Raw genomic sequence first — 25,731 nt, 5'->3', positions numbered from 1 at the left:
TGGGCCATGTCTGGGACACCAAAGTGAATGGAAGTCTTGGGTTCATGACTGAGGGCAGACTTACCACCAGTGTTGTCAAAGCCTATAGTCTGAACACTTTCTTCTCTGTCTTTCCATTTTCTATTATAAAGAGTACTCAGAAATTACCTAAGTATTTAATTTCAAAAAAAATTGCATTTCTCAAAAACTCTGTAAAATAACAAAGGACATAGCTGATACCAGAATAAATCTTTTTTGTGAAGTTTGGATAACTGAGATTTGAAAAACATTTTAGAAATTTACATTTATTTAGAACATTATATTTTAAAGAATTAAAACACAAGCTGGTTAGAAATTTTAACATTTACAATAAAACAATTTGGATATTTTTAATCTCTAATTTTTTTATTATTTCTGCAGGGATTGAAGTGTACTTTTATGCTATCTGTAAAAAAAATGCTTAATAAGTAAATAAACATTTTAAGTAATAGTTGAAAAACATTTACTTACCAGAGAAAATAATTTGTTTTCCAACACTTCAGTTTTCTTTTATTTATAAAACACTCTATTCAAAATGAAGGTATGTTAGTCAGGGTTCCCTAGAGGTACAGAATTAATAGGATATATATAATGGGTAGTCTAGTAAGTATTAACTTACACAATTACGAAGTCCCACAATAGGCTTGTCTGCAAGCTTGAGGAGCAAGGGGAGCCAGTCCGAGTCTTAAAACTGAAGAACTTGGAGTCCCATGCTTGAGGGCAGGAAACATCGAGCACAGGAGAAAGATGCAGGCTAGAAGGCTAGGCCAGTCTTGCATTTTCACGTTTTTCTGCCTGCTTTATATTCAGTGGCAGCTGATTAGATTGTGCCCACCAGATTAATGGTGGGTCTGCCTTCCCCAGCCCACTGACTGTTGCCAAATGTTAATCTCCTTTGGCAACACCCTCACAGACACATCTAGGATCAATACTTTGCATCCTTCGATCCAATCAAGTTGACAGTCAGTATTAACCATCATAGAAAGCAAGACAAGAACTTCTTAGATATGCTAATCATTTTTATCTATTTACTAAGTCTGGGCCCGAACTGCCAGCACTTGTTAGTCATTTTCTGGTTACTGTATGTCCTTGAAACTAATAAAACTGCATTTCCTTTGAATGCAGTTGGTCCAGATCGTAACTTTTCCCATATGTATTTATTTTTGGGGTTTGGATCATTTTCATCTTCCATTGATTTTCAAACTATTGCAAATTACACAGTTTACATGTTAAAGAGATCAAGTTGTATAGTAGAAGAAATCTTTCTGCAAGCTATGTGACATTAACCTTGCTGAGCTTTAGTAACCTTGCTCATTTGTAAAATGGAGATAATAATAGTACCTATTTCCTAGGAATGTAGAGGAGATGAATAGAGATAAGGCAAGCATTCTGCTAGTAAACAAGGTCCACATTATCACCATCATTCCCAATATGTTTTGAAGATTCTATGTAATTAACTATGCATTTTCTAATTTATACTGAATTATTCTCATTTTGCAGATGAAGACACAGGTTCAGAGAATTAGGAAGCTTGCTCAAGATCATACATGTTGAAGAACCAGCCTCCTCAGCTGCTTCTGATTGTAAACTAGCTGTGATCAGGGCACCACTCTGTTACAAAAGCAGTCTTAGAAATTAACCAGCACAAAGATCATCCATGACTAGTGAGTGCAGTTCTGAGACTGGTTTTCATATATGCCTGTAGGATCAGTCTCACTATTTTGAGGTTGTACCCTGGGCAGGGAACATGAGTCATTGCCTACCCATCCACTCCTCCACACTCTGACTGTCTCTGTTATGAATTAAGTCCTAAGAATTCTTATCTCATTACTCCCCATGGGGTTTCAGCAGCAGTCATCTCTGACTTGTATTTTCACCCTGCTAGTTAATTGCTTTCTTAGACTTTTCTATTCTGCTGTTCGATGGTAGCTCAGCAAGTGACTTTTCATCATTATAGAATAGGAAAAAATTGTTTGGGTTGTGGATTGGTTTACAGATGCTGCACTTTCCAATTCCTACCACACCATGACCCTGTAACCTGCTGGGAAGATGTAGCCCTAAGTGCAAAAGAAGCTCCCCACAAAATGTTATTTTCCTAGGTCCTTTTCCCAACCACATGGAGCAGATAAATGGAAGGAGAGGCATGTTGGTGGTGGTGATGATGGTGGTACAATTTTCCCTCAGTATCCACAGGGAATTGGTTCTAGGAAGCACCTCCCCAACACCAAAATCTGCGATGCTCAAGTCCCTTATGTAAAATAATATAGTGTTTGCATATAATCGACCCATATACTCCCATATACTTTAAATCATCTCTAGTTTACTTATAATGCCTAATACAATGTAAGTGCTATGTAAGTAGTTGTTATACTGTATTTTTTTACTTGTATTGTTGCATTGTTATTTTTTATTTTTCAAATATTTTCCATCAGTGGTTGGTTGAAACCATGGATGTGGCACTTGTGGATATGGAAGACCGCCTATAATAGTAACAATTATGGTAGTAGTAATGCTGGTGATGGTGTTGGTAACAGTGGTGGTGAGTAACGGTGTTGGAGAAATTTTTTCCACTCACGTGGAACCTCGCACCAGTCTACTCTCTGATAATTTGGATGTATCTCATAAATGGTATCTCAGTTTTCTTCAAGTTGTATATAGGTCTTCATATTTTTTTTTCTTTTAAAGTTTAAAACATCTACCATTCGGTCTAAAATAAATGCTTTTAATTTAAGGCCAGGGAATTCCACACCCTGACCAAGCTTAACTCACAGATCCTGTAAGTGCTTTCTGAGGCCCAACAAAGTGGGTTTCAAGATAACACAACTGCCCTGCCTGGTAGCAGAAGGTGTTTTAAGTGTGCCATGTGTCTGGCCTCAGAAGAGGCAAGCCACAGCACAGAGCAGGATAAGCCTTTGTGGGGCCTCAGAAAGCACTTACAGGATCTGTGAGTTAAGCTTGGTCAGGGTGTGGAACAGAATTTCCTGGGCTCTTTTAAGGTATGGTCTGGTCTTGCAGTCTATACTCTCAGGCTCTCTGTAGCCTCCTTCCTTTATCAGTGAAATGGAGGAATGCAACTCTGGACCTCTACTTCTCCTTTCTCTCCTAAGGGGCCAGAGACTGCCTAAACCCCACACAATAAAACTCACAGATCCCTCTGGGAGGCTGAGGCAGGTGGATCACCTGAGGTGAGGAGTTTGAGACCAGCCTGACCACCATGGTGAAACCCCATCTCTACTAAAAAATACAAAAATTAGCCGGGCATGGTGGCAGGCGCCTGTAATCCCAGCTACTCGGGAGGCTGAGGCAGGAGAATTGCTTGAACCCAGGAGGCGGAGGTTGCAGTGAGCTGAGATCACGCCGTTGCACTCCAGCAACGGGCGACAGAGCAAGACTCCATCTCAAAAAATAAATAAATAAATAAATAAACACCTCACAGATCCTTTGCTCGAGGTGTGGTTAAAAGAACAAAATTATTATAATTACTAGGCGAAACTTTAGTCACTCTGCATCACATCTTCCCCTACATGTGCACCCATGTGCGTGTCTGTTTCCAAGAAAAGGTGACTGTGGAAATAGGAAAAGACTTCTGCTGAAATGCTGAATGTTATACTGTTTTCTTGGGCCCATCTTAATAATCATCTACAAAGCTGCAATTTTGGCAATATGAGCTGGCGGCCTGACCTAACATCATTGTACTTTGGATCACTGAAGTGTCTCCTCACATGCCAAAACCTGCTGCACTTTCTTCCTACTTCGTTGCGGCCTTCATCAACCTTGTCCACCTCTTTCAGTCACCTGAGTCTCTACGTGCACTGTTCAGTATGGCAGCCATGAGCCAATGTGGCCACCAAGTATGAAGAAGGGAGCCTTCTGAATTGAATGTAAAATGTACACTGGCTTTCCAAGACTTAGCATGAAAAAAAAAATGTGGAATAACTCAATAATCTTTGATATTGCTTGCAGGTTGAAATGATAATATTTTGGATATAGTGATTTAAATAAAATATATTATTAAAATTAATTTTACCTGTTTCTTTTTACTTTTTAAAGTGTGACTACTAGAAAGTTTAAAATTGCAAATGTGGCTTGCATTTGGAACTCACATTATATTTCTATTCCGTACTGCTAGTCTAAATAGTTTGCAGTCCTTTGCACTGTTGTGATCTGTTTAAGGAAAATCATCCTTGGACAATACTGTCTAAAAGTTTTTAATTTTTTAATATAAATATCAAATAGTTTTAAGTGGCATATCAGCTAGATTCTGAATTTTAAATCTTCTTTTTTTAAAAAAAGAATGAATGTATGTGTCCAAAACAAAGGCAGTAGCACTGGAAATTCAAATCTGTTAAATCATAGCATAGATAATGGGACAAGCTACAGCAGTACTGGGACACATAATAAAAGCAATGGTTCTTAACCTATTTTAGTGTCACAGACCCATATTATTTATTGAACAAATATTTATCATGTGCCTACTGTCTTCAAGACTGTGATAGGCTCTGTAAATATAGCTGATAAACCTGATACAAGTTTTAGATCCTCTCCCCAGAAAAATGCATATACACATATACTTACAGATTTGCACCGAATTTTAGGCTCTTGAGAATATTCTGAGGCCCATTTAGGAATTCTAGATTGACAATTTCTAAATTTGAGAAAAGAGCTTGGGCTTTATGGCCAGACAGATCTAGACTTGAATGCAGCTCCACTAGCTACCAGAGTGACCTTAGACTGTTACTTATGTTCTTTAAGTCCCAATTTCCTCATCTATAAGATGAGGGGATATGGAACAAATTGTGAGGTATTTTAAGGATTAGCATTAACATATAGAAAGATATTTCTTGTTCAGACTAGGTGCTTAATAGATCATAACTATTCTCATCTTTATGTCAGGAGGTAGCTCAAAAGGGAAGTTAGAGGACAGATTCTTTATATCTGAATTTTCGGAGTCAAGGTTTTAAATTCTATAGTAACCCTAGAGATTAGTTGTTGAACAAAAATAGGTTTTGATTCTTCAACCACATCATGACCTTTTAAATAAGATGTCCAAAACTGGTATGTGAGTGGTCTGGGGTAAGAGCACATCTGCCCATGCCTTAAGAGATATTATGTGGCATGTACATATGTTTTTCTGTGGTTTGAAAACAAATTTGTGTCTGCAAATCTTAAAGATAGGTTCTGTTTTGGAAGGGATTTTGTTTCTTTGCTTGCTTTATAAAGGCTGTCCTGGTACGTATACATTTCTTTTCTGTTTTTGTTTTTTTGAGACGGAGTCTCGCTCTGTCGCCCAGGCTGGAGTAGAGTGGCGCGATCTCGGCTCACTGCAAGCTCCGCCTCTCGGGTTCACGCCATTTTCCTGCCTCAGCCTCCGAAGTAGCTGAGATTACAGGTTCCCGCCACCACGCCCGGCTAATTTTTTGTATTTTTAGTAGAGGTGGGGTTTCACCGAGTTAGCTAGGATGGTCTCAATCTCCCGACCGGGTGATCCGCCCGCCTCGGCCTCCTGAAGTGCTGGGATTACAGGCGTGAGCCACCGCGCCCGGCCACGTATACATTTCTTATTGGCAATTTCCAGCAGGAATATGGCAAACTTTAGGATAAAAGTAGCCTTAAATGAATAAGAACTTGGGCTAAGAAGCCAAAAGCCATGCTATTCCTATACTGCTTGTTCTTCCAGTGCCAAACTCTGGAATAATCCATCCTCCAAATCATTAAGTTAAAGGTAGAGTGACTCACCAACTCTCAGGAGGTGAGGGTAAACCAGACTTGTCATAATTTTATAGGCTCCTCTTTCCACTCACGAAAACAAGTTATGTGTGGCATTTACGTACATCCGTGTTGCTGGGCATTTTCCAAATGCCTCTTGGAGAACATTAAACAGGAAATTGATGCCACAGGGCAAATATTCATTCTTCCCATCCTCTCACAAAAACAAGTACAGATTTGCTGTGGCTAGACTGACTTCCTGCATTGTGCTGTTACTTATTCAATGTTACACTAGAAGAAAAAAAAAAGTACATTCTCCATTTCAATTTAGAGCATGTTGAAAATGGCCAAAATGTATAAACAAAAAAGCTTCCCTCCTGAGAGCACAGAAGTATAGATTTCTATGCTTTATAAAATCACAAAATCCAAAGGTTAATGATTGCTTTTCATGCGTATTGATGAAAGTCAATTTCTGTTACAGTAGACACACCAAATTTGGTTTAAACAATATGTGCTCTAGTTTTCAAATGACAAAGTCTGTAAGCATTTGGACACTGCAGCTTTACATATAAGGATGGCATCTTCTTCTAACCTGTAATAGTGGTCTTTGTTAGTGGCACCTCCTCAGTATCCATTTCTCCCCATTCACTTTATCAGCCCATAAACTGTTTTGCGATCCATGGGGTTTTAGGACAACTGAATCCACCTTCAGCCCCAGAATGGCTAATGTGCCTTAGGTTAAACTCTCCAATATATTATCTCCTCTAGCTAGAGATTTGTTCCAAGGGAATGTGTAACCTAAGTTCATCCAATCAAAGTAAATCTAGAGGTTTTTGCTGGGAAGAAGTTATGCTTTCTTTCCTGATAGACAAGAGCACTGAATCAATTGGCAGTTATCTTAGGATCATGATGAGTAGCAGCATTAAAATAAAGTAATTACTATGAAGAACAGAACAGAGAAACAATTGGAAGAAACCAGGCCCTAGATGCCATCATTTTGCTGCTGGATCAAGCTTTACCTGAAAATGTATCACTGGACCATTTAGTAATATAAACCATTAACTTTCCAATATTACTTAAAACCAGCTTGATTCAGGTTTTCTGTAATTTGCAACTAAAGCTTTGTAACTACTATACCTATCTGTTGGAAGAGATTTAGAAAAGAAAGGATGAGAAAAGGATGAGGGGAAAAAAATGTCTCAAGTGCCTTTAATGCCAGTGCTCTTTTCTATCAGGAAAGAAAGCATAACTTTTCCTCAGCAAAAACCTCTAGATTTACTTTGATTTGATGAGTAACCACCATAGTCATGTGAGGTGGGAGAAAAGTGAATCCATGTACTTCTTCCTGGGTCTAGGAGAGGTAGGAAGCCTTAGCAGCAGGGAGGGCCTACTCTCAACTAAGGTCACTCTTATATCCCTGCTCCTTCCAGGCTGAACTGCAACACATGCAGTTTGCAATTACTGAAATCATTTGACCACCATTTCTCTCAGATGGTTTCTACCACCTCCCTCTGAAGAATGATATATTGTTATCTCCCATTTTATAAATGAAGAAACTGAAGCCCAGAAATCCTAAGTTTCATATATATTAAACAGCAGTAGAGGATAAAGCTCAGATCTTCTTATTTCAAAACCTAGAATCTTTGTCATATAACACATATCATCCTTGTTACCCTTTTTGTATTGTATGTGGTAATTGGGGTCATCTAGAATGAGGCCTGGAAGAATTTCACATCCCTACCGTTTCCTTCCCTCTTCCTTCACTAGGAGTAACCAGAATGTATATTGTTCCACACAAGAATTAGGTCATCCTAATTTCTTTCAGCAGTGCTCCATGCTCCAAAAGTACCACCTTCCAACACTCCATGACCTGACACCATCAAGAGTCATATTTCCTCAGTCCGTAGGATAAAAATCTGCTAGAAATGCGTTTGCTGAATGAATGCACACTAAGATATGAAATATGATAAGTTTTACGTGTTACTCCTGTCTCTGAACATAAATACTTTATAAGTGAGCACTTAGATAGCCAGTGCCTTCCATTGAAGGAGTTAATATCGTGTCTATATTTTAGGCAGTATGGCAAGTTGGAGGCAAAAATATTTTGAGTTGAGGCCCTTCTTGGTAATGTTGCACTTAAACTATTTCTTCCTTCACTTACTCACAAAGCTTCACTTTTGCTCCAGCCCGCAAGTTTTCAGATAACTTTGGGTACACCTTGATCCAAATATAGAAATACTCTTTGCCAGCCTAACATGGACTCAGTCATTCCCAAAGTAATCACACACCCCTCAGCTTTATTCAGCAAACTTTACTGAAGGCTTACTGCATGCTGGCTCACTGTATGCGTGCTTACTCCCATGCAATATGCAGGCACTCCAACAGTTTAGGGTGTGGACTTGACAAAGATACCGTGTTACTTAGGCTCTTTTACTTGGCAAGGTACAGAGCATACTTAGGTTACTTGAGGAGACAGAAATTGTTAGAAAAACACATGGAAAACTATGGAGCTACAAGAAGACTCTTGTAGGTGGCCCGGTCTCACAGAGAACTAGAACATGGTATAATAATAGTTCTGAAGCTCTCACAGTATGACAAGAGCTCTGGTCATCTGGACATCACCTCAGGTTTGTTTATCTATCTAGTGACTGTACAATTACTGTGACTCAGCCATTCTCTTATCTTCCTTATTTTGCTTCCTTTTGTAACTTTTCTCCACTTCATGTCTTCTCCTACCTCATTGCTTCTGTTTTAAGCCTTTACACATCATGCCTCTGAGTTTCTGATGCTCTCTTCTGTCTGTGGCCCACCTTGTGTGACTCTACTCAAAAGCTCCAAGAAAGAGGATCTGTCCTAAGCATCTATTTAAGTTCTGAAATCAGTTTCCCCATAAGGATTCATAGGGCCTTAGGACCAGGCACCAACACCTAGTTTAACCAGAGGCATATTGATTGTCCTAAGTCTGACAACCGTTGACTTGGTCCCTGGGATGCTGTAGAGTACCCCTGGGAGATTTTCTTCTCTACTGATTTTAGCAATAGACCTCTCCCTGACCCAAAACAAAATGACCAGACTAGCCAGAACAGAATGACAGGTCACCATATATTTAGTGGTAATTTGGAGGAAAAAAACAGTATTAGAGGGTTAGGGTACTAAGCACTGAAAGCAACATGGGAAAAATAAGGAAGCAAAACTGGCTAAGCCACTAAAAAAACATGATCTCATTTAATCGAGACCTAAAAGGATTATTATGTGTTCCAAATGCACCTACCAACAAGATAATTGGGAGTCGCAATGATAGTTCATAAAAACTCTGAGTACAAGAGCTGGGGAGTACAAGAGCTGGGAAATACATCATAGGCCGCTTATCCAACCCACTTATTTCATATTGGAGAATTAGTTGACCAGTTAATTAATTCACACAATTAGTGGTGAAGCCCAGATTCATAAGCAATGTCCAATAAACCACCAGTTTGTATTTCTGAGCTAGTAATGAATTTCCCTGCCTAAAGATGTAGTAGATCACATTAAATGCTCAAAGAACTCTACTGATTGTCCCAGTGAATGTGGATAAGGTTGGGACAGAGCAATTTAATGTATTCATACAAGATAATGTCTGTGTTTTCAATAGCAGTAAAATATGTAGTAAGATATAACAGAGAAAAGCAAAAAAAGTAAGAGCTTGGAATCTCAGATTCAATATTGTCCCTGCCATCAACTAGCTGAGAGTTGTGTGTGCTTGGACTACTTCTATCAACTTTTTCTATCTCAGGCTCTTCATCTTCCTAAAGAAAAATTAGGCCAGAGGGCCACTGAGGTCCCAGGTGCCCATGATGCCTGTAGCACTACTTTTCTGGGAATGACAATGCCTACCTTTTGGGGATGGGATAAGCCCAGTGGACCAAGAATGCCAAATCAGCTGATTGCTAATCAACAAAATTGAGAAACTGATAGAGTGTTCTTAAAATTGTCCAAAGACAAATGGACCAAGGAAGAATTTGGCCTTTCGTGGATTCTTGGCTTAGATTTGTTGCCATCTCCAAAAGTACCCAGAGAGGCACTGAAAATCATTACACTTCACATAGGAAAACAAACAAACAAACTCTATAGTTCCATATATGGAGACATTTAAACATTTAAGCATTTTTTTTTCTAGTAAGCTAAAAATGGAAAAAGCAAAATGATGATTATTGAGTATACAAAGTGGCATTTTAATCTAGTCTCAGCAATAAATTTTGATGGCTATATAAATAAAAATGGACTATGCAGAGAGGAGGGGCTCCCAGTTGAAAGTCATATTCTGAGATAGCCAGTAAATCTGTAGGCTACTGGCAGGGCCACTTTAGATGGTTAGACACTAACCAACTGTAGGGCACATATTTATTATCATTTATTGACTATTCCAATACATTTTGTTTGTTAAGCAGAGTATTAGCCCTGGTCTATTTTCATTCATACATCCAAATAAAATATTACTAAAACAATAATGAAAGCCAAGAGAAAAATAATATAAATATTGAGAATTTTTCAAATCTCTCCTTCAAAATAGATTAGACATGAAATATGTATTTATAAATTAAATTATGGTAGCAGTGGAGATGGAGTATTATTTAAGATTTTTAAATAAATGTGTAAGTTTAGTGTTTTGAACATAAATTAGATTGTCAGACAAGGTGAAAAGGAACACTCAGATGAGGTTTTATTTCTTCTTCCAAAATCATAAATACTCTGTTTTTATAAGCTGACTGTAGCCCATTTCAATATGACAATATATGAATGAAAAGTTAATTTTCTCTACTAATTTGATTTATTAAACAAATAGTAGAATAACAATAGTGGAAAGAAATGACATTAACATTTATTCCTAACATCAGTTGTTTTCATTTTTCTTTGCCCCTTTCTCTACCAGGTCCATTTGCATGCCCATTTTTGCATAGTGGTTTACAAAAAAATAAAAAGCAAGACACTCTACAAGCCATAGTCAGCTGTTCTTTTTCTTTATCGCAGCACACACTCCCTCTGAGAGAGGCTTTTATCCATTTGATAAATATTTATTGAGCACCTCTTTGGTGCCAGCCTTTATTCCAGGTTCTAGGGATACAGTGATAACTAAGACAGACAAGGCCCTGCCCTCAAAGAACTTAATTCCAAGCTAAGAAATAAACATGTAAACCAATAAATAATTTCAAATGTTTTGTGGTGGGTGGCACTATTTTAGGAGGTAAGAAAGGCCCCTCTGAGGTTATTTGAGCTGATGGCAGAATGATGAGGAGATAAAAGTCTTGCAGTGAGCCAAGGGCACATGCCAAGGCCTTTAAAAAATGGGAAAGAGCTTAGCATATTTGAGGAAGTAAAAGGAGGCTAATGGGGATGGATTTGGTGAGCAGGGAACCAAGAGGTAGGTGGGGGTCAGCTCAGTAGGACCTTGTAGGTCGTAGTGTGGAGTTTGGATTTCAATCTAAGTACAAGAAGCCTTTGGAAGATTTTAAGCAGAGGTAGCACATGTTCTGTTCTAACTCAGGTTATTCTGGCTACCTAGTGGAGAGTAAATTATGGTGAGGCAATAACAGAAGCAGAGATATCAATTATGAAGCTATTTCAGCTTAGATGAGGATAAATGGCAGAGAAGATGGAGTAAAGATGGATTCATGGCCAGGTGCAGTGGCTCAAGCCTGTAATCCTGGCACTTTGGGAGGCAAAGGCAGGCGGATCACAAGGTCACGAGATCAAGACCATCCTGGCTAACACAGTGAAACCCCGTCTCTACTAAAAATACAAAAAATTAGCCGGGCGTGGTGGCACATGCCTGTAATCCCAGCTACTCAGGAGGCTGAGGCAGGAGAAGTGCTTGAACCCGAGTGGCAGAGGTTGCAGTGAGCAGAGATGGCGCCACTGCACTCCAGCCTGGGCAACAACAGAGCGAGACTCCTTCTCAAAAAAAAAAAAAAAAGATGGATTCGTAATATATTTTGGAGGTAGCACCTACAACTTGCTAATGGATTAGATGCAGAGGATAAGAGAAAGGGGAGGCTCCAAATTGATTTGGATCTTAGTTTTTTGGGATTAAGAAACTGGGTGTATGATAGAGTTATTTACTTAGACTGGGAGAAAATCAATTCTTTAGAGCAGAACTCAAGAGTTCCTTAGAGATGAGGTTTTGCTCTGTCACTCAGGCTGGAGTGCAGTGGCACAATCCTACCTCACTGTAGCCTCTAATCCCTGGGCTCAAATGATCCTCCCACCTAGGAATTATTTTTAATGTACATTAAGTTTGCAAAGAAAAGCCCAACTGGAAATGTGAGGTATGCAATTGGATATATGAGTCTGAAGTTCAGATCAGTGTGTGTGTGTGTGTGTGTGCGTGTGTGTGTGTGTGTGTGTGTATTTGGGAGTCATTAGCACATAGTAACATTTAAAACCATGGGACCAGAAGAGAACAACTAAGGCAAAAGTGAAGTTGACAAAAAAATTGAAAACCAGGTCATATGGTACCCCAAATTTCAGATATCAGGCAGAAGTGAAGGAGCCAGCTATAAAAACTGAGAAGAGTTCAGTGGGTTAGGAAGAAAATCAAGACAGTGTGATGTTTCCCCAGCCCTGAGCATGAAATTAGTCAAAAAAAGGAGACCATTCTCATCTGTGTTGCATATTATTAAGAGGTCAAGTAAAATGAGAATGAAGAAAAAGCCACTGCATTTGATATGGCTTTTTTGGGGATTTTTGGTGATTTTGACAAGATCAATTTCAGTGGCATCCTGGCAACTGAAGCCAGAATGAAGTGGGTTGAGATTGAATGGATTCAATGCAATTCTAGTAAAAATCCAAATAGGATATTCATTTAAAATCAGCAGACTGATTCTAAAATGCGTATGTTGTCTTGTGATCCACTACCTATACCCATCTTAAGGTACCATTGTGACACCATGTCAACACAGGGCTTCTCTGAGGAGCAGGTATTTCGAACAGGCTGCAGCTGGGGGATTGAGGAATACACTTTTTGTTCTGGGATTTCTTGCTAAATGTCTTAGGATGTTTTCACATCCTTATACACACTCCTTCAACCCAACCAGGTTTAGCCCAGAGGTGGAGTGCAGAAATGAACACAGTGACAACACTAGAATTTTACATTGTGGTTGGTTCCTCCTCAGCTGCTGAAGGCTTTTCTTTTGTCCTGTGAGAAAGAAACTTACCTTATATCCTATCCTGTGTATCCCTACTCTGGATACTGAGAATAAACTTTGGTTTTCATTTCTCCTCTTGATAAAACTTTGGAGTTTGAATCAATCTTTCTGTCTCAAAAAGTCAGACTTCTGCAAGCCAAAAGAGCTTGCCCTTGGGATATTTTGTATCCCTAGAGACTTAAAAAACTGTTTTGAAATTCAAAAATCTAAGCAATGACCTCTTTGTTCTATGCTGTATCAAATATAGTACTTTGCTTTTCTATGATAAAAAGCCTCAGAATCTATCTGTTTTTAATGGCTGTAAGGTTGAAAAAACTCCTGAAATTACTGAAAAGGAAAAATACAATGAGATTTTTAAAAATATTATCCTGCTTTCCTCTTAACATGGAATTCCCTGCCCCTCAGAACACAAGGTCCCTTTCTATAGTTTCAATTGTACTTCTCGATAGTTCCCCAATTTATTTCGTATTCCAGCTACAACTGCTTTCAGTACATGTAATTCCCAAGAGCACCAAGCACTTGGATGGCATCATGTCTTTGCACATGTGGTTCCCTTCTGCCTGAAATGCCCTTCCTTAAGCCAGCCTCCTCACTTTAAAAGATTTTAAACTCTTGTGCTAGAGATTAAGCTATTTTCTGTCATCTCCAAACCCACCTTTGTCTACCTTGTTTTGTGATGCTGGGGTTGGGACTATGCAAACCACCTTTCTCTTTTGCCAGCAGAATTCCTTTTGGTTTCTGTCTGTGTGGGACACTAAAGAAAGACCATGAGGCAAGAGAGGATGAAGGGACTCGTTCCTTTCTATTTGCTTGCTGTTCCTGTCCATGTTACCCACTAATGACCCTTCATCCTGACAGCAGCCGCTGTTTCCAGTATCCAGCTTCTTGGCACTCTCATAACCAGGTTTCATCCCACCTTCCTCAGAAACACAAGCACTACCAGCTAATGTCCCCTTCCCTGAGGTCTGAGTCTTATGTCTATGAGGATGTCTTCAAGCTTCTAAATTCAGATAACCCCAATCTCTTCCTTTTGCTTACTCAGACCTAGGGGGATGCAGCTGCTTCCTCAAGTTACTGCCTCTGTGAAACCTCAGTGTGCCCATTGTGCCTTTTTAGTTCTCCAGACCTGGTTAACCAATTCCCTATATTAAATTTTCTTGGTTGAATTTTTTTTTTTTTTTTGAGACAGTCTCGCTCTGTTGCCCAGGCTGGAGTACATTGGTGCAATCTTGGCTCACTGCAACCTCCACCTCCCAGGTTCAAGCAATTCTCTGCCTCAGCCTCCCAAGTAGCTGGGATTATAGGCACACGCTACCACACCTGGCTAATTTTTTTTTTTTGAGACGGAGTCTCGCTCTGTCACCCAGGCTGGAGTGCAGTGGTGTGATCTCAGCTCACTGCAAGCTCTGCCTCCCGGGTTCAAGCCATTCTCCTGCCTCGGCCTCCCAAGTAGCTGGGACTACAGGCACCCGCCACCACGCCTGGCTAATTTTTTGTATTTTTAGTAGAGACGGGGTTTCACCATGTTGGTCAGGCTGGTCTTGAACTCCTGACCTTGTGATCCACCTGCCTCGGCCTCCCAAAGTGCTGGGATTACAGGCATGAGCCACTGCCCCTGGACTCTTTGTTGAAATTTTTAATGTGTTTTTTGTTTTCCAGACTTATAATCATTCTCTATTAAGACTATCTAAGCCATTTTGTTCACTCTCTGCCAAAGCATTTGTTTCTGTGCACCTTGCAGAGGGCTCCTTTGAAGTGCTTATCATACTGTATTAGTATTTTCTTAGATGACAGTATCCTAACACTAGATTGTTAGGGCTCAGAGATAGAAATCGTATTTTATTTATTTTTACATCACCTGTGTTCATCAAAGTGAGTACAAACTCAGTAAGTGATCCTTAAATTAAATGAATTAATGAATATATGACTTAAATGAACAAATGAATTAATGAATATATGAATATGAATGTATTCAATTAATTAAGGAAAACATAACTGTATACATAGATTAGTCATGCATTATATCCTGTTTAAACTTAAAATGGCAACTCTTTATATACGGAATAAATTCCAAGGCCCCTTTAATTTGGCTCCTGCCTGCCTTTCCATCTCTCTCCTACCTCTTTCATCCCAGTCATACTGAATGGATTAGAGCTTCCAGAATACACCCCCACACCTTTGTCCTCACCATCGTTTCTTCCTGAAATGCTTATTCATGTCTAATTCCTCTAGCATATCGCAAGCTATTTGAAGTACTCCTTTATTTCCATCACCCAGAAGAGTTCTATAATATAGTAGATACTTAATGTGTAATTATTAAGTAAGCATTTCCATATTGCTGCAGTTTCCATAATGATCCCTTTTGATCTTTGCATGTATTTTATGTAGGTTATATGCCATGGCTTACTTAATCACCACTTTATTATTGGATATTAAGATAGTTTCCAATGTTCACTACTATAATTAATTCAAGAGAGCACTTTTTGTACAAGTGCTTGTTTGGTTGTAAAGAGAGTTACAATTTTTTTTCTTAAAAGAAGGATAGAGCATGAGGTTTATTTTTAAACAAAAAAAAAAATTTTTATGTTTCTCAGTTCATGTCAGTGATAGCAGGCCTAAGTCTAGGGGATACTTCTGAGGCCATCATGTTTTTAGAAGGCCAGTGACATAATCTGACTTACAATAATTTAAAATATTTCCTTAATGACTTGCAAATCAAGATGCCAATGTCCAAGTATTCCAGATGCCAGTCTACATGCTTGAACTTTCATTGTCTCCAGCTTCTCTTTGAGTACACAGAGGTAGAATCCAAATAGGTGGCATTTGACTTTGGGAGTGGAGGGGTATAGATTTGAGGAATAGAAATTAAAATAGAACTTAAATTACCATCGTCAAATCATATGAAAGCTCTTTTTACTCTCTTCATTTGGTAACCTCTGGAAAATAAAGGAATACCTTGGTACATAAAACAGAAGCACTCATGAAAATTTGTCTTAAGTAGAAGTAAGTTCTTCTATTGCACTTTGTTTTCCTAATTGTATTTCATTTGGCAATTGGAGATGTGTTTCCAACTGTGACATGAAGTCCAGCCCATTATCCTTTTCTAAGGTGTTTTCTTACTACATAGTTTCAAATAGGCTTAGAATTTCCAAATTGAAGAAGGGAGAGAAGTAGATTTAAAAAAAAAAAAGAGAGAGAGATTAAGAGGAGAGTGGTGTAAGCCTAAAATGAACTTCACTTTTAGCTTTGGGACATAGACCTTTCTAGACCTGTTTCCTCATCTATAAATTGAGTAGAAGATCCCCAAGGACCTCCCTAACTCTGAATTTCCATGACTTTACATGTTTTAGTCCTAAAAAATACTCAAACCTCAACTAAGCTCAAATGAGATTTTGACTTTCCTGAGTCTCAAGAACAAACAGCGTAGCCTAACTCCCTTGCAGGTGTAAGTCATCTTGCATTCCCTTCTCCAGATCAAACGAAAAAATAACCCAAAGAATTTAACTGCTGTGACTTCTCAGGAAACCTTTCCCTACTTCATTCGTTATGATTTGTATGTTCTCCTTCTTCCAAATCTATGTGGAATCTGACTTGAACTCATTTTGCACTCTTTGTTGACATAAACTTCTGAAATAAATCTCTTACACCCTGCAAAAGACAATTTTGCCCAGTTTAATTTAATGGAAGTGAATGACCCCTCCTTGCAACTTCTCAAGACTGTTTTTAATTTTATATTGTTGCTGTTGTCTAACCTAGAGTTAAAGAATATCCACTTCAGTTTGAAGAAGATACTCTAGGCCATTTGACATGTCTCTGGCTCAGTTTGCAGATAATAAAAGAATTACTGTCTCCTCTGCTCCTTCAGGTTCACCCACAATTTATCAGACGAAAAAGCTTTCATACAGCCCTATGTTTCATATTCATTCAGCCAGCCAGTTCCTCCAATTTCCTCTCTAAAAGAACATGCAAGCTGTTTATAAAATGCCTCTATTTAGAAGTTCTCCTTAGGAGGCAAAAGGAAACCTCAAGCTTCTATTGAGTGTTGGCATTCTGCATCTTTGCTTTCAGACAACGTTTGTAAGTAGTGATGAGAATAAATAATATATTACTGTTTGAAAGGAGAAAGAGAAGGAGCAAAATGATGCTACTACCCACAAAAGGGATCAGGGTCCTCATCATGGACCTCTGCTGAAGAATAGTGCTGTTCAAAGGCAATCAGCCCTCTTTACTACTGACTCATTGGCTGGAAGCCAAGACTGCCAGGGTCCAGTTTAACTAACGAGAGGGATTGTTTTGAAGGTGAGATGGAGGTCACAAATCAGGGCAGCCCTTATTTGGCCATCTCAGCACTTTAGAAATTATGTTAGACCTCTGAAGTGATGAAAATCAAACAGGAATGCTCAGTAAAGGTAACTAGTCACAATTAGGAAAGCAGATTTCCCCCATACTATTCTTCTTTGGATGGATTCAAGTGGAGAATATTTCACAATGTCCAGCTGATATGATCAGTGATCCAACAAGTCATGACACAATGTAATGCAAATTTTTAATAGAAGCCAGAATTTGTCATTTAATTAGAGTGTTGCTTAAAATCATCACAGTGTTCTTTTTATCATAATTATAGCCTCAGTTTAGTTAAGGGCAGCATTTCACTTCTTTGTAATCATGTTCAAGCAACTGTGCACTCCACAGTCAACAAACTTTTATTGAACACCTACTATGTGCTAGTCTGTTTCTGATTCAGAATCCTAATTCTGGCCCTATTTTTTAAAATAAAAAACTGAAAACTAAAATTTTATACTTTTAGGTTATTTTGCGATTCAGTGATCTACTATTCTGTGGGCTGGGAGAGAGAAAATTGCCCAGGCAATGTCTACTGCTATTTCAGTTTTTAAAAAATTAGCTCTGGAGATACAGTCCTGAATAAAAGAGAAAATCTCCCTGTTCGTATGGAGGTGTCATTCTACAGAGGAAAGCATACAATAAACATGTAAATAAACAACTGAACAAAATAATTTTAAATAACTATAAGTGCTACGAAGAAACTAAAACAGGATGTAGTGATAGAGACTGATAAAGTAAAGGATAACTACTTTAGGATGGTCATAGAACCACTGAGGAAGTAACATTTGTGCTTAGACTTAAATAATGAGAAAGACTCCATGGAAAGTCTGGGGGGAAAACCTGGGGAGCAGCAAGGGAAACCCTAAGGAGAATAACCTTGGTATGTTCAAAGAATAGGGGGACAACATGACTGCGGGGCTGCAAGTTAGAAGAGACATACGAGGTGGGGGAGTAGAGATTGGTAGGAGCTAGATAATGCAAGTCCTGTAGAACATTGGTAAAATACAACTGGGAAACATTGAGTGATTTCAAGCAAAAGATCAATATTACCTATGTTTTAAATTTATCATTCTGGCTGCCTTATGGGAAACAGATAGAAGCAAGAAGACCAGCTTAGAGTAGTTGAGGCAAGAGATCAGTGGCTTAATGTTGGCAATATCATGAGATAAAGTAGATGGATTTGAGATGTTTTGGCGGTAGAACCTGCAAACTTGCTGAAGAATTAGATATAGGGGTGAGGGAAAGGTAGGAAACCAGGAAAATGTTCAGGTTTGGTGGCGATGTTTACTGAGATAGAGAACCAAATTCAGGGTGCAAGGGAGGAACAGGTTTGAGATGAAGGTAGGAATCAAGAATTATTCTTTGCAGCTCCGTTACAAAAATATCTGTTGGATATCTGACTGGAGATATAAAGATGTCTGTTGGATATCTGACTGGAGATATAAAGATGTCTGTTGGACATCTGACTGGAGGTATGAAGACTGGAGAAATAAGAGTGGATGTGATTGGTGTGTAAAAGATATATAACGCCATGGGAGGAGAGAAAAGCAGGCAGCAGAAGGAGAAAATGTGAGGCATTCCAACATGTAGAGGCCCAGGAGAGTGTGTCAAGGAAATAGATGTAGCATTTAATGTACTCTAAATGGAGGCCAGGCCAAACCCCAGGCATAAGATACATGAGAGAAGGACTCAAACGTTGCCTAAACATGCTGAAAGCTGCAGCACTCTGGCATGTTAACTTTCTGCTGTGGTGAAAATAAAGATGAAAATCATTTCATCTGAGTTAGCAAATATTATGGAAAAATAAACGAAGAACTTTATTCCATGAGGGTGTTTATAACAAGTGATCGTCTCCGTATCACTGATGACCTCGTAAGCAGTTCTTCACTGAGACTGTGATTTGTCTTAGTATGGGGGTGTCTGCATCCTGGAAGGGGTTCAGAGAATTATACAGCACACCTGTGTTTACTCAACATTTTGAGAGTCCTGTTCAGTAACACTGAGTCATTTCCCCATGGCTTGTAGAAGTTAAAGATGGGGTGGGGATCTTACATATGGGTGTAAAATCTCTGGATTAGTTTTACAGATGGGATTACAAAGAACTAACAGTCTAATTAGTTCTTTGTAACCAAGCCCTTAGGAGTCTTCTACAGGGACATTTCTCATGTTAATATGATAAGTGAGGCATGTCAAAGCCAACCAGTCCAGGTTGGCTTGCCTGAGAGGCAAGCATGGCGTTTGGAGCCAGGCCCATCTGGGTTCAAATCCCAGCTCTGCCACTTTCTGGCTGTGTGTCCTGAGACAAGTTATCCAAGTCCTCCAATTTCCAGTTTCCTCATCTGTAAGATGATGACAACACTTCACTATCTTGTTGTGAGATTTAGTGAGGTACCATATACTGATTGACTAGTGTCACCAGATTAGGTACGATGTGCCTAGTTCCTCAATGAGTAGGTAGGAGGTGCTTAATAAATTCTGGTCTCTTCTCTGTCTTTTAATCTCAATAGTTGGTGGGCAAACACTACAACCTATGATAACCCCAAGAAATCCTAACTGTGGCCCCACTGGCTACATTATTTTTTGAATGCAAAAATTAAAGCTAAAATGTTACACTTTTAGGTCGTTTCCTGAGTCTGTGGTCCTTTTTATGAGCTGGCAGAGAGAAAATTGCCCAGGCAATTTGATTGCTATTTCAGTTTGAGAAAGATTCTCAGTCAGTGAGCAGCATTCTTTCTAGGTCTGGTTCATTTCTTCAACATTGCTATGGTGCTAGTAACTTCAGTACTTAAATTCTAGAATACTCATTAAGAACACAGAAACTTCCTATTAACTGCTTGCCAGATTTCCCTATTGCACATAGTATAGTAATTTGTCACAGAAACATTGTAACTTTTTTACACAATTAATTCAACCAGTATATACTGAGACCCTGCTAGGTGTCCAACATGGTATAGACAGTAGAGTGACAAAGATATGTAAAATAGACACAGTCCCTGCCCTCACTGTTACACATGCCAAGATTCACCAACCCATTCCACTGGCAGAGAAATGACTTTCTTCCCCTGCTAAATTCCTAAGAGGTCTTTTACTCAGATAGAAAAAACTTGTTTTAGATTCCTAGAATTGCTTAGAAACATGAACCAAAGGCTATTGCCATCTTTTCCCAGACGGCTTTCTCTTTAATCAAAGAATAGAACCTGTTTGATTTGTGTGTGCATGTTTTCAATTACAAAAATAATACACACTTGTTTTAAAATGTATTAATCTCCTTTAAAATGGAAGTTTTCTCCTCTTTGCTAGAGGAGAAGCTATTAATCACTAGAATTTAATGTCTATACTTCTACACATTTTTCTAAGGAGATACAAATACTTATTTCTGATACCCTCATCCCACATGTACACATTGTACTTGTTTTGTTTTTACCATGATAATATCACATTTACATGCTATTCTATAACTTGATTTTTAACACAGCAATATATCATGAACATGTTACCATTTTGTTTATCAATCTATCTACTTCATTAGTGTGCTGTACAATAGCCATAGAATAAATAAATCATAGTTGTTTTTTAACCATTCTTCTACTGATGGAACTTTAGATCGTTTCCAGTGTATTGCTATTATAGACAATTATTTAGTAAATACCCTGTACCTATATTTTCACACTTATGTGAGCTTGTCTATAGAATGGATTCCTACAAGCTGACAAGTGGAAGTGCTGCGTCAAAGGGGTTGTGCGTTTTAAACTCAGATAGTGTGAAATTGCCTTCAAGAAAGGCAATATTAGCACAATATGAGAATGCCCATTTCTTCCCTCCCTCTCTAATACTGAATATTATTATCATTCTTAATATTTGCCAATCTGAAAGGCAAAAAATAAGATTTCATTTTATTTTTTAGAGATGGGGGTCTCACTCTGTCACCTAGGCTAGAGTGCAGTGGTATGATCATAGCTCACTTCAGCCTTGAACTCCTTCCACCTCAAGGGATCCTCCCACCTCAGCCTCCTGAGTAGCTAGAACTATAGGTGTATGCCACCAAGCCAGGCCAATTTTTTTTCTTTTTTTGTAGAGATGGGGTCTCACTATGTGGCCCAGGCTGATTTTTAACTCCTGGCCCCAAGCGATCCTCTGATCTCAGCCTCCCAAAGTACTGGGATTGTAGGTGTGAGCCGCCATTCCCAGCCTGGGATTTTATTTTAGTTTGTAGATTTCTGGTGTCCATTCTGACATGTTAAACAAAAATTATGGAGGCCATTGTTTGGGACTGAGATCCCATATTAGGCTCCAACAAACCAGACCAAATCAAAATGGAGTCACTCATGCTAAATGCCACATAAACAAATTGAAATTTTACAGCAGCAGACATATCACAAAACAGACCAGTTTTTCATGAAAACAGGAGACTCCAGTCTACCTGAGTCAGCTTAAGGAAGTCTCATCTGCTTTAACTCTTACGTAAAAAGTAATCTGACATTAACCAATCAGCTTTTAATATTTTTATTTTTATAGACAGAGTCTGGCTCTGTCACCTAGGCTGGAGTGTAGCGGCATGACCATAACTCACTACAGCCTCGAATTCCTGGGCTCAAGTCACCCTCCCACCTCAGCCTCCTGAGTAGCTAGGACCACAGGTACATGCCACTATGCCTGGCTTATTTATTTTTATTTTTGTAGAGATGAGGTCTCACTATGTTGCCCAGGCTGGTCTTGAACTCCTGGCCTCAAGTGATCCTCCCACCTTGGCCTCCCAAGTGCTGGGATTACAGGTATGGGCTCAGTCAGGTTTTTTATTTTCTGTTGTTCTGTTTCCTTGTCCCCACTTTACAAAACCCACTGTTCTATTATTGCCCAGGGTGAGCTATTGTTCTATTTTTGTAGAATTGGAGGATGCCCAAATTCATGAGTTGAAAATAAGAGGCAATTAGATCTATAACTAAATCTGTGGTAATTTTGTTTTTGATGTGTGTAAAAAGCTTGGAAGTCACCATTCCCATCCCTACGAGAAAGCTGGACAAACTAAAAATGAATGACTTTTTTGGATCTATGAGAGAACTGAACTTTCAGAGTAAACCACACCCTGAGATCTGGAGACAGGTGCATCCAGAGAGATACAGCAGAAGCCACTGGAGGAATAAGAGTGGCAACATTTACTTCACTGGTAAATGTGAAGAATTACTATAAGTTGAGTGTGGACTAATGTGACAGTGAGAACACATTATCCACAATCATAGGGGTATTAAATACTTCTTCCCACAATTTTGAGGTCTTTCTCCCTCGGAATCCCACCAGGTTCTCAGGGTAAGGAGCTAAGAAAACCCCCCTTGTGGCCCTGGAAGGGAGATGGAAAGAGTAACAATAGTGTAACCCTCCCAGATTCTTCTCTATAACAAAAGCCTACTCTCCAAGGGTAAAGTCTGTACTACAATAGTCTCCCCCCACTTATCCATAGTTTTGCTTTTCATGGTTTGTTACCTGTAGTATAGTATAGTATAGTATAGTATAGTATAGTATAGTATAGTATAGTATAGTATAGTACACTATACTATACTGTAAAGATATTTTCAGAGAGAAATCACATTCACATAACTTTTATTACAGTATGTCATTATAATTTTTCTATTTCATTATTAGTTATTGTTAATCTCTTACTGTGCCTAATGCAGAAATTAAACTTTACCACAGGTGCATAGGAAAAAAAAACATAGCATATGTAGAGTTCAGTACTATCTGAGGTTTTAGGCATCCACTGGGGTTCTTGGAAGGTATCAGCCACAAATAAGTGAAGACTACTGTATAGGGCAATACTGAAGCCTTATTCCACCTGGTGGAGTGGATTGTCACCCTACTCCACTTACTAGCCTTCCTGTCTAACCTAAAAGAAACAAAAGGAAAACCAAAACAAACATAGTAGGGCACTAGGAATAGAGTATGGTAGGAGAAGGAGGGGTCGGGTGATGTGGGATCTTATATCAGGGAAGAGGGACAGAAACACTTGTGAAGGCCACAGCCCTGAGACATAGGCCCACTGAAAGAGAGAGACTTAATTAGAAGATTATAGAACATCTCCCCTCCTCCATACTTTACCACCATATCAATATACTTTCAATGGATTACAGTTGAAAGAACTGCATGATCTAGACTCTTTCTGAGTGGCAATACAAAGGGAACCACAAAGGCAAGAGAGAGGAAAAAAACAAGGACACTAGAGGAATTTGAAGCCTCTGGAACTTACAGCTACAACAATAATTAAACACAACCCAACTCCAGGCCAGATTAACATAAATCCTCACACCAAAGGCCTGTTTACTTCAGTACCTATTAGAAATACATAATATTGATTGGGTGCAATGACTCATGCCTGTAATCCCAGCACTTTGGGAGGCCGAGGCGGGAGGATCACAAGGTCAGGAGTTCGAGACCAGCCTGACCAACATGGTGAAACCCCGACTCTACTAAAAATACAAAAGTTAGCTGGGCATGGTGGCATGTGCCTGTAATCCCAGCTACTCAGGAAGCTGAGGCAGGAGAATCACTTGAACCCAGGAGGCGGAGGTTGCAGTGAGCCAAGATTGTGCCACTGCACTCCAGCCTGGGCAACAGAGTGAGACTCCATCTCAAAAAAAAAAAAAAAAGAAAGAAATACATAATATCTGGCTCTCAACAAAAAATCACAAGGCACACTAAAAGATAAGAAAGGGACAGCCAGAAGAAGGGACAGAGAGATCATCAGAACTAGAATCAGATAAGACACAGATATTGGAATTATCACACAAGGAATTTAAAATTACTGATTTATGTTATGGGCTCAAATGGAAAAATAAACAGCATGTAACACCAAATGGATAATGTCAGCAGAGAGATAGAAACTATTAATATAAGAAACAAAAGGAAATACTAGAAATGGAAAACTGTAATAAAAATGAAGTATGTCTTCAACAGGTTTACCTACTGGACATAGCTGAAGAAAAAAAAGAATCAGTGCATTTGAACATAGTTTAAATAGAAACTTCCCAAATTGAAGCACAAAGAGGAAGAAGAATCTCAAAAACTCAGAACAATGAAGAACTGTGGACAATATCAAAAGGGGTAATATATGCATAATTAAAATACTGGAAGGATAAGAGAACAAAAAATTATGATCAAATATTTGAAATAAATATTTCTTGGTAAATTAGATTATCAGACATATAAACTGCCTATTTGGGATAAAGCCAAAAAGGAGTTTGGTTAGTCCACCTATAAATTTTATGTATTCTCATCACATGTGTTTGACTATCTGATCATTAAGTCTCTCATTACCTTGGTAGGAACAGTCTAGAGGATTTTCTGCAGTGAAAGAGTTAATGGATTTCTTTTTCAACTCAAAGATGAGTTATCTTTTCAGGGAATGAGGTGTTGAGAGTGAGGGATATAGAAAACAGCAATAATATAAGAGTACAGCCAGGCACGTGGCTCACGCCTGTAATCCTAATACTTTGGGAGGCCGAGGCAGGCCTATTACTTGAGCCCAGGAGCTGAGACCAGCCTGAGCAACATGGTGAAACTCCCCTCTAAATAAAATACAAAAAATTAGCTGGGCATTGTGGTGTGTGCCTGTAGTCCCAGCTACACTGGAGGCTGAGGTGGGAGGATTGCTTGAGCCCAGGAGGCAGAAGTTGCAGTGAGCCAAGATAGCACCACTGCATTCCAGCGTGGGTGACAGAGGAATGCCCTGTCTCAAAAGGAAATTAAAAAAAAAAAAAAATATATATATATATATATATATAAAGAATATAACTTTTTTATAAGATTTGTTTTATGCTGCAAATTCCTACATGAACTCATTAAATGGATATATATCACAGGGAAAACAATATGATTATTAATAGAAGGATGACAGCTTAGTCTTGAGTGGCATGAGTCACAAAAAGAATGATTAAAAAAAACATTCAAAAGAGTCTCATTCACCAAGAGCTGAACCTTTCACAAGGTTTAGCTTTCACGACTTGAGGCATTTGTGTAATTGTTATGATTGTCATGAGGCCTCCATGCAAACCTTCTGATTTTCCTAGGTAAGAATTTCCAGCAGTTTCTTGTCAGGCATGGGCTGTTACATGAGTTCCCTCCCCTGAGTTATGACAGTCTGGCCAGCATTGTACTCAAAAGGGACCCTGAGACCTTTAGCATCTTTTACCAGGTCCAGAGAGTTTCAAGAATCTTTGAAGTTGGCAGGGCACGGTGGCTCACACCTGTAATCCCAGCACTTTGGTAGGCCAAGATGGGCTGATCACGAGGTCAGGAGTTTGAGACCAGCCTGGCCAACATAGTGAAACCTCATCTTTACTAAAAATACAAAAACTAGCCGGGTGTGGTGGCACGTGCCTGTAGTCCCAGCTACTCGGGAGTAGCTGAGGCGGGAGAATCGCTTAAACCCGGGAGTTGGAGGTTGCAGTGAGCCAAGACCAAGCCATTGCACTCCAACCTGGGTGACAGAGTA

At 39.1% G+C, this 25,731-nt stretch overlaps 1 long non-coding RNA gene across 1 annotated transcript in view, besides 1 other annotated feature; it reads left to right on the top strand.

Annotated features, from left to right (window-relative positions):
- LINC00886 (long intergenic non-protein coding RNA 886) overlaps positions 1 to 25,731 on the top strand; it is a 69,720-nt gene that overhangs the window by 26,899 nt on the left and 17,090 nt on the right. The window lies entirely within an intron of this gene.
- Positions 1,740 to 1,809: an enhancer, noted in NCBI's record as "active region_20732". NCBI's record gives its function as "activates an Ori minimal core promoter by ATAC-STARR-seq in GM12878 lymphoblastoid cells {active_cell/tissue: GM12878}" and the evidence as "EXISTENCE:reporter gene assay evidence [ECO:0000049][PMID:35858748]".

Source organism: Homo sapiens, chromosome 3 (assembly GCF_000001405.40).
Source record: "Homo sapiens chromosome 3, GRCh38.p14 Primary Assembly".
NCBI lineage: Eukaryota > Metazoa > Chordata > Mammalia > Primates > Hominidae > Homo > Homo sapiens.
This window is presented reverse-complemented; position numbering and strand designations above follow the sequence as displayed.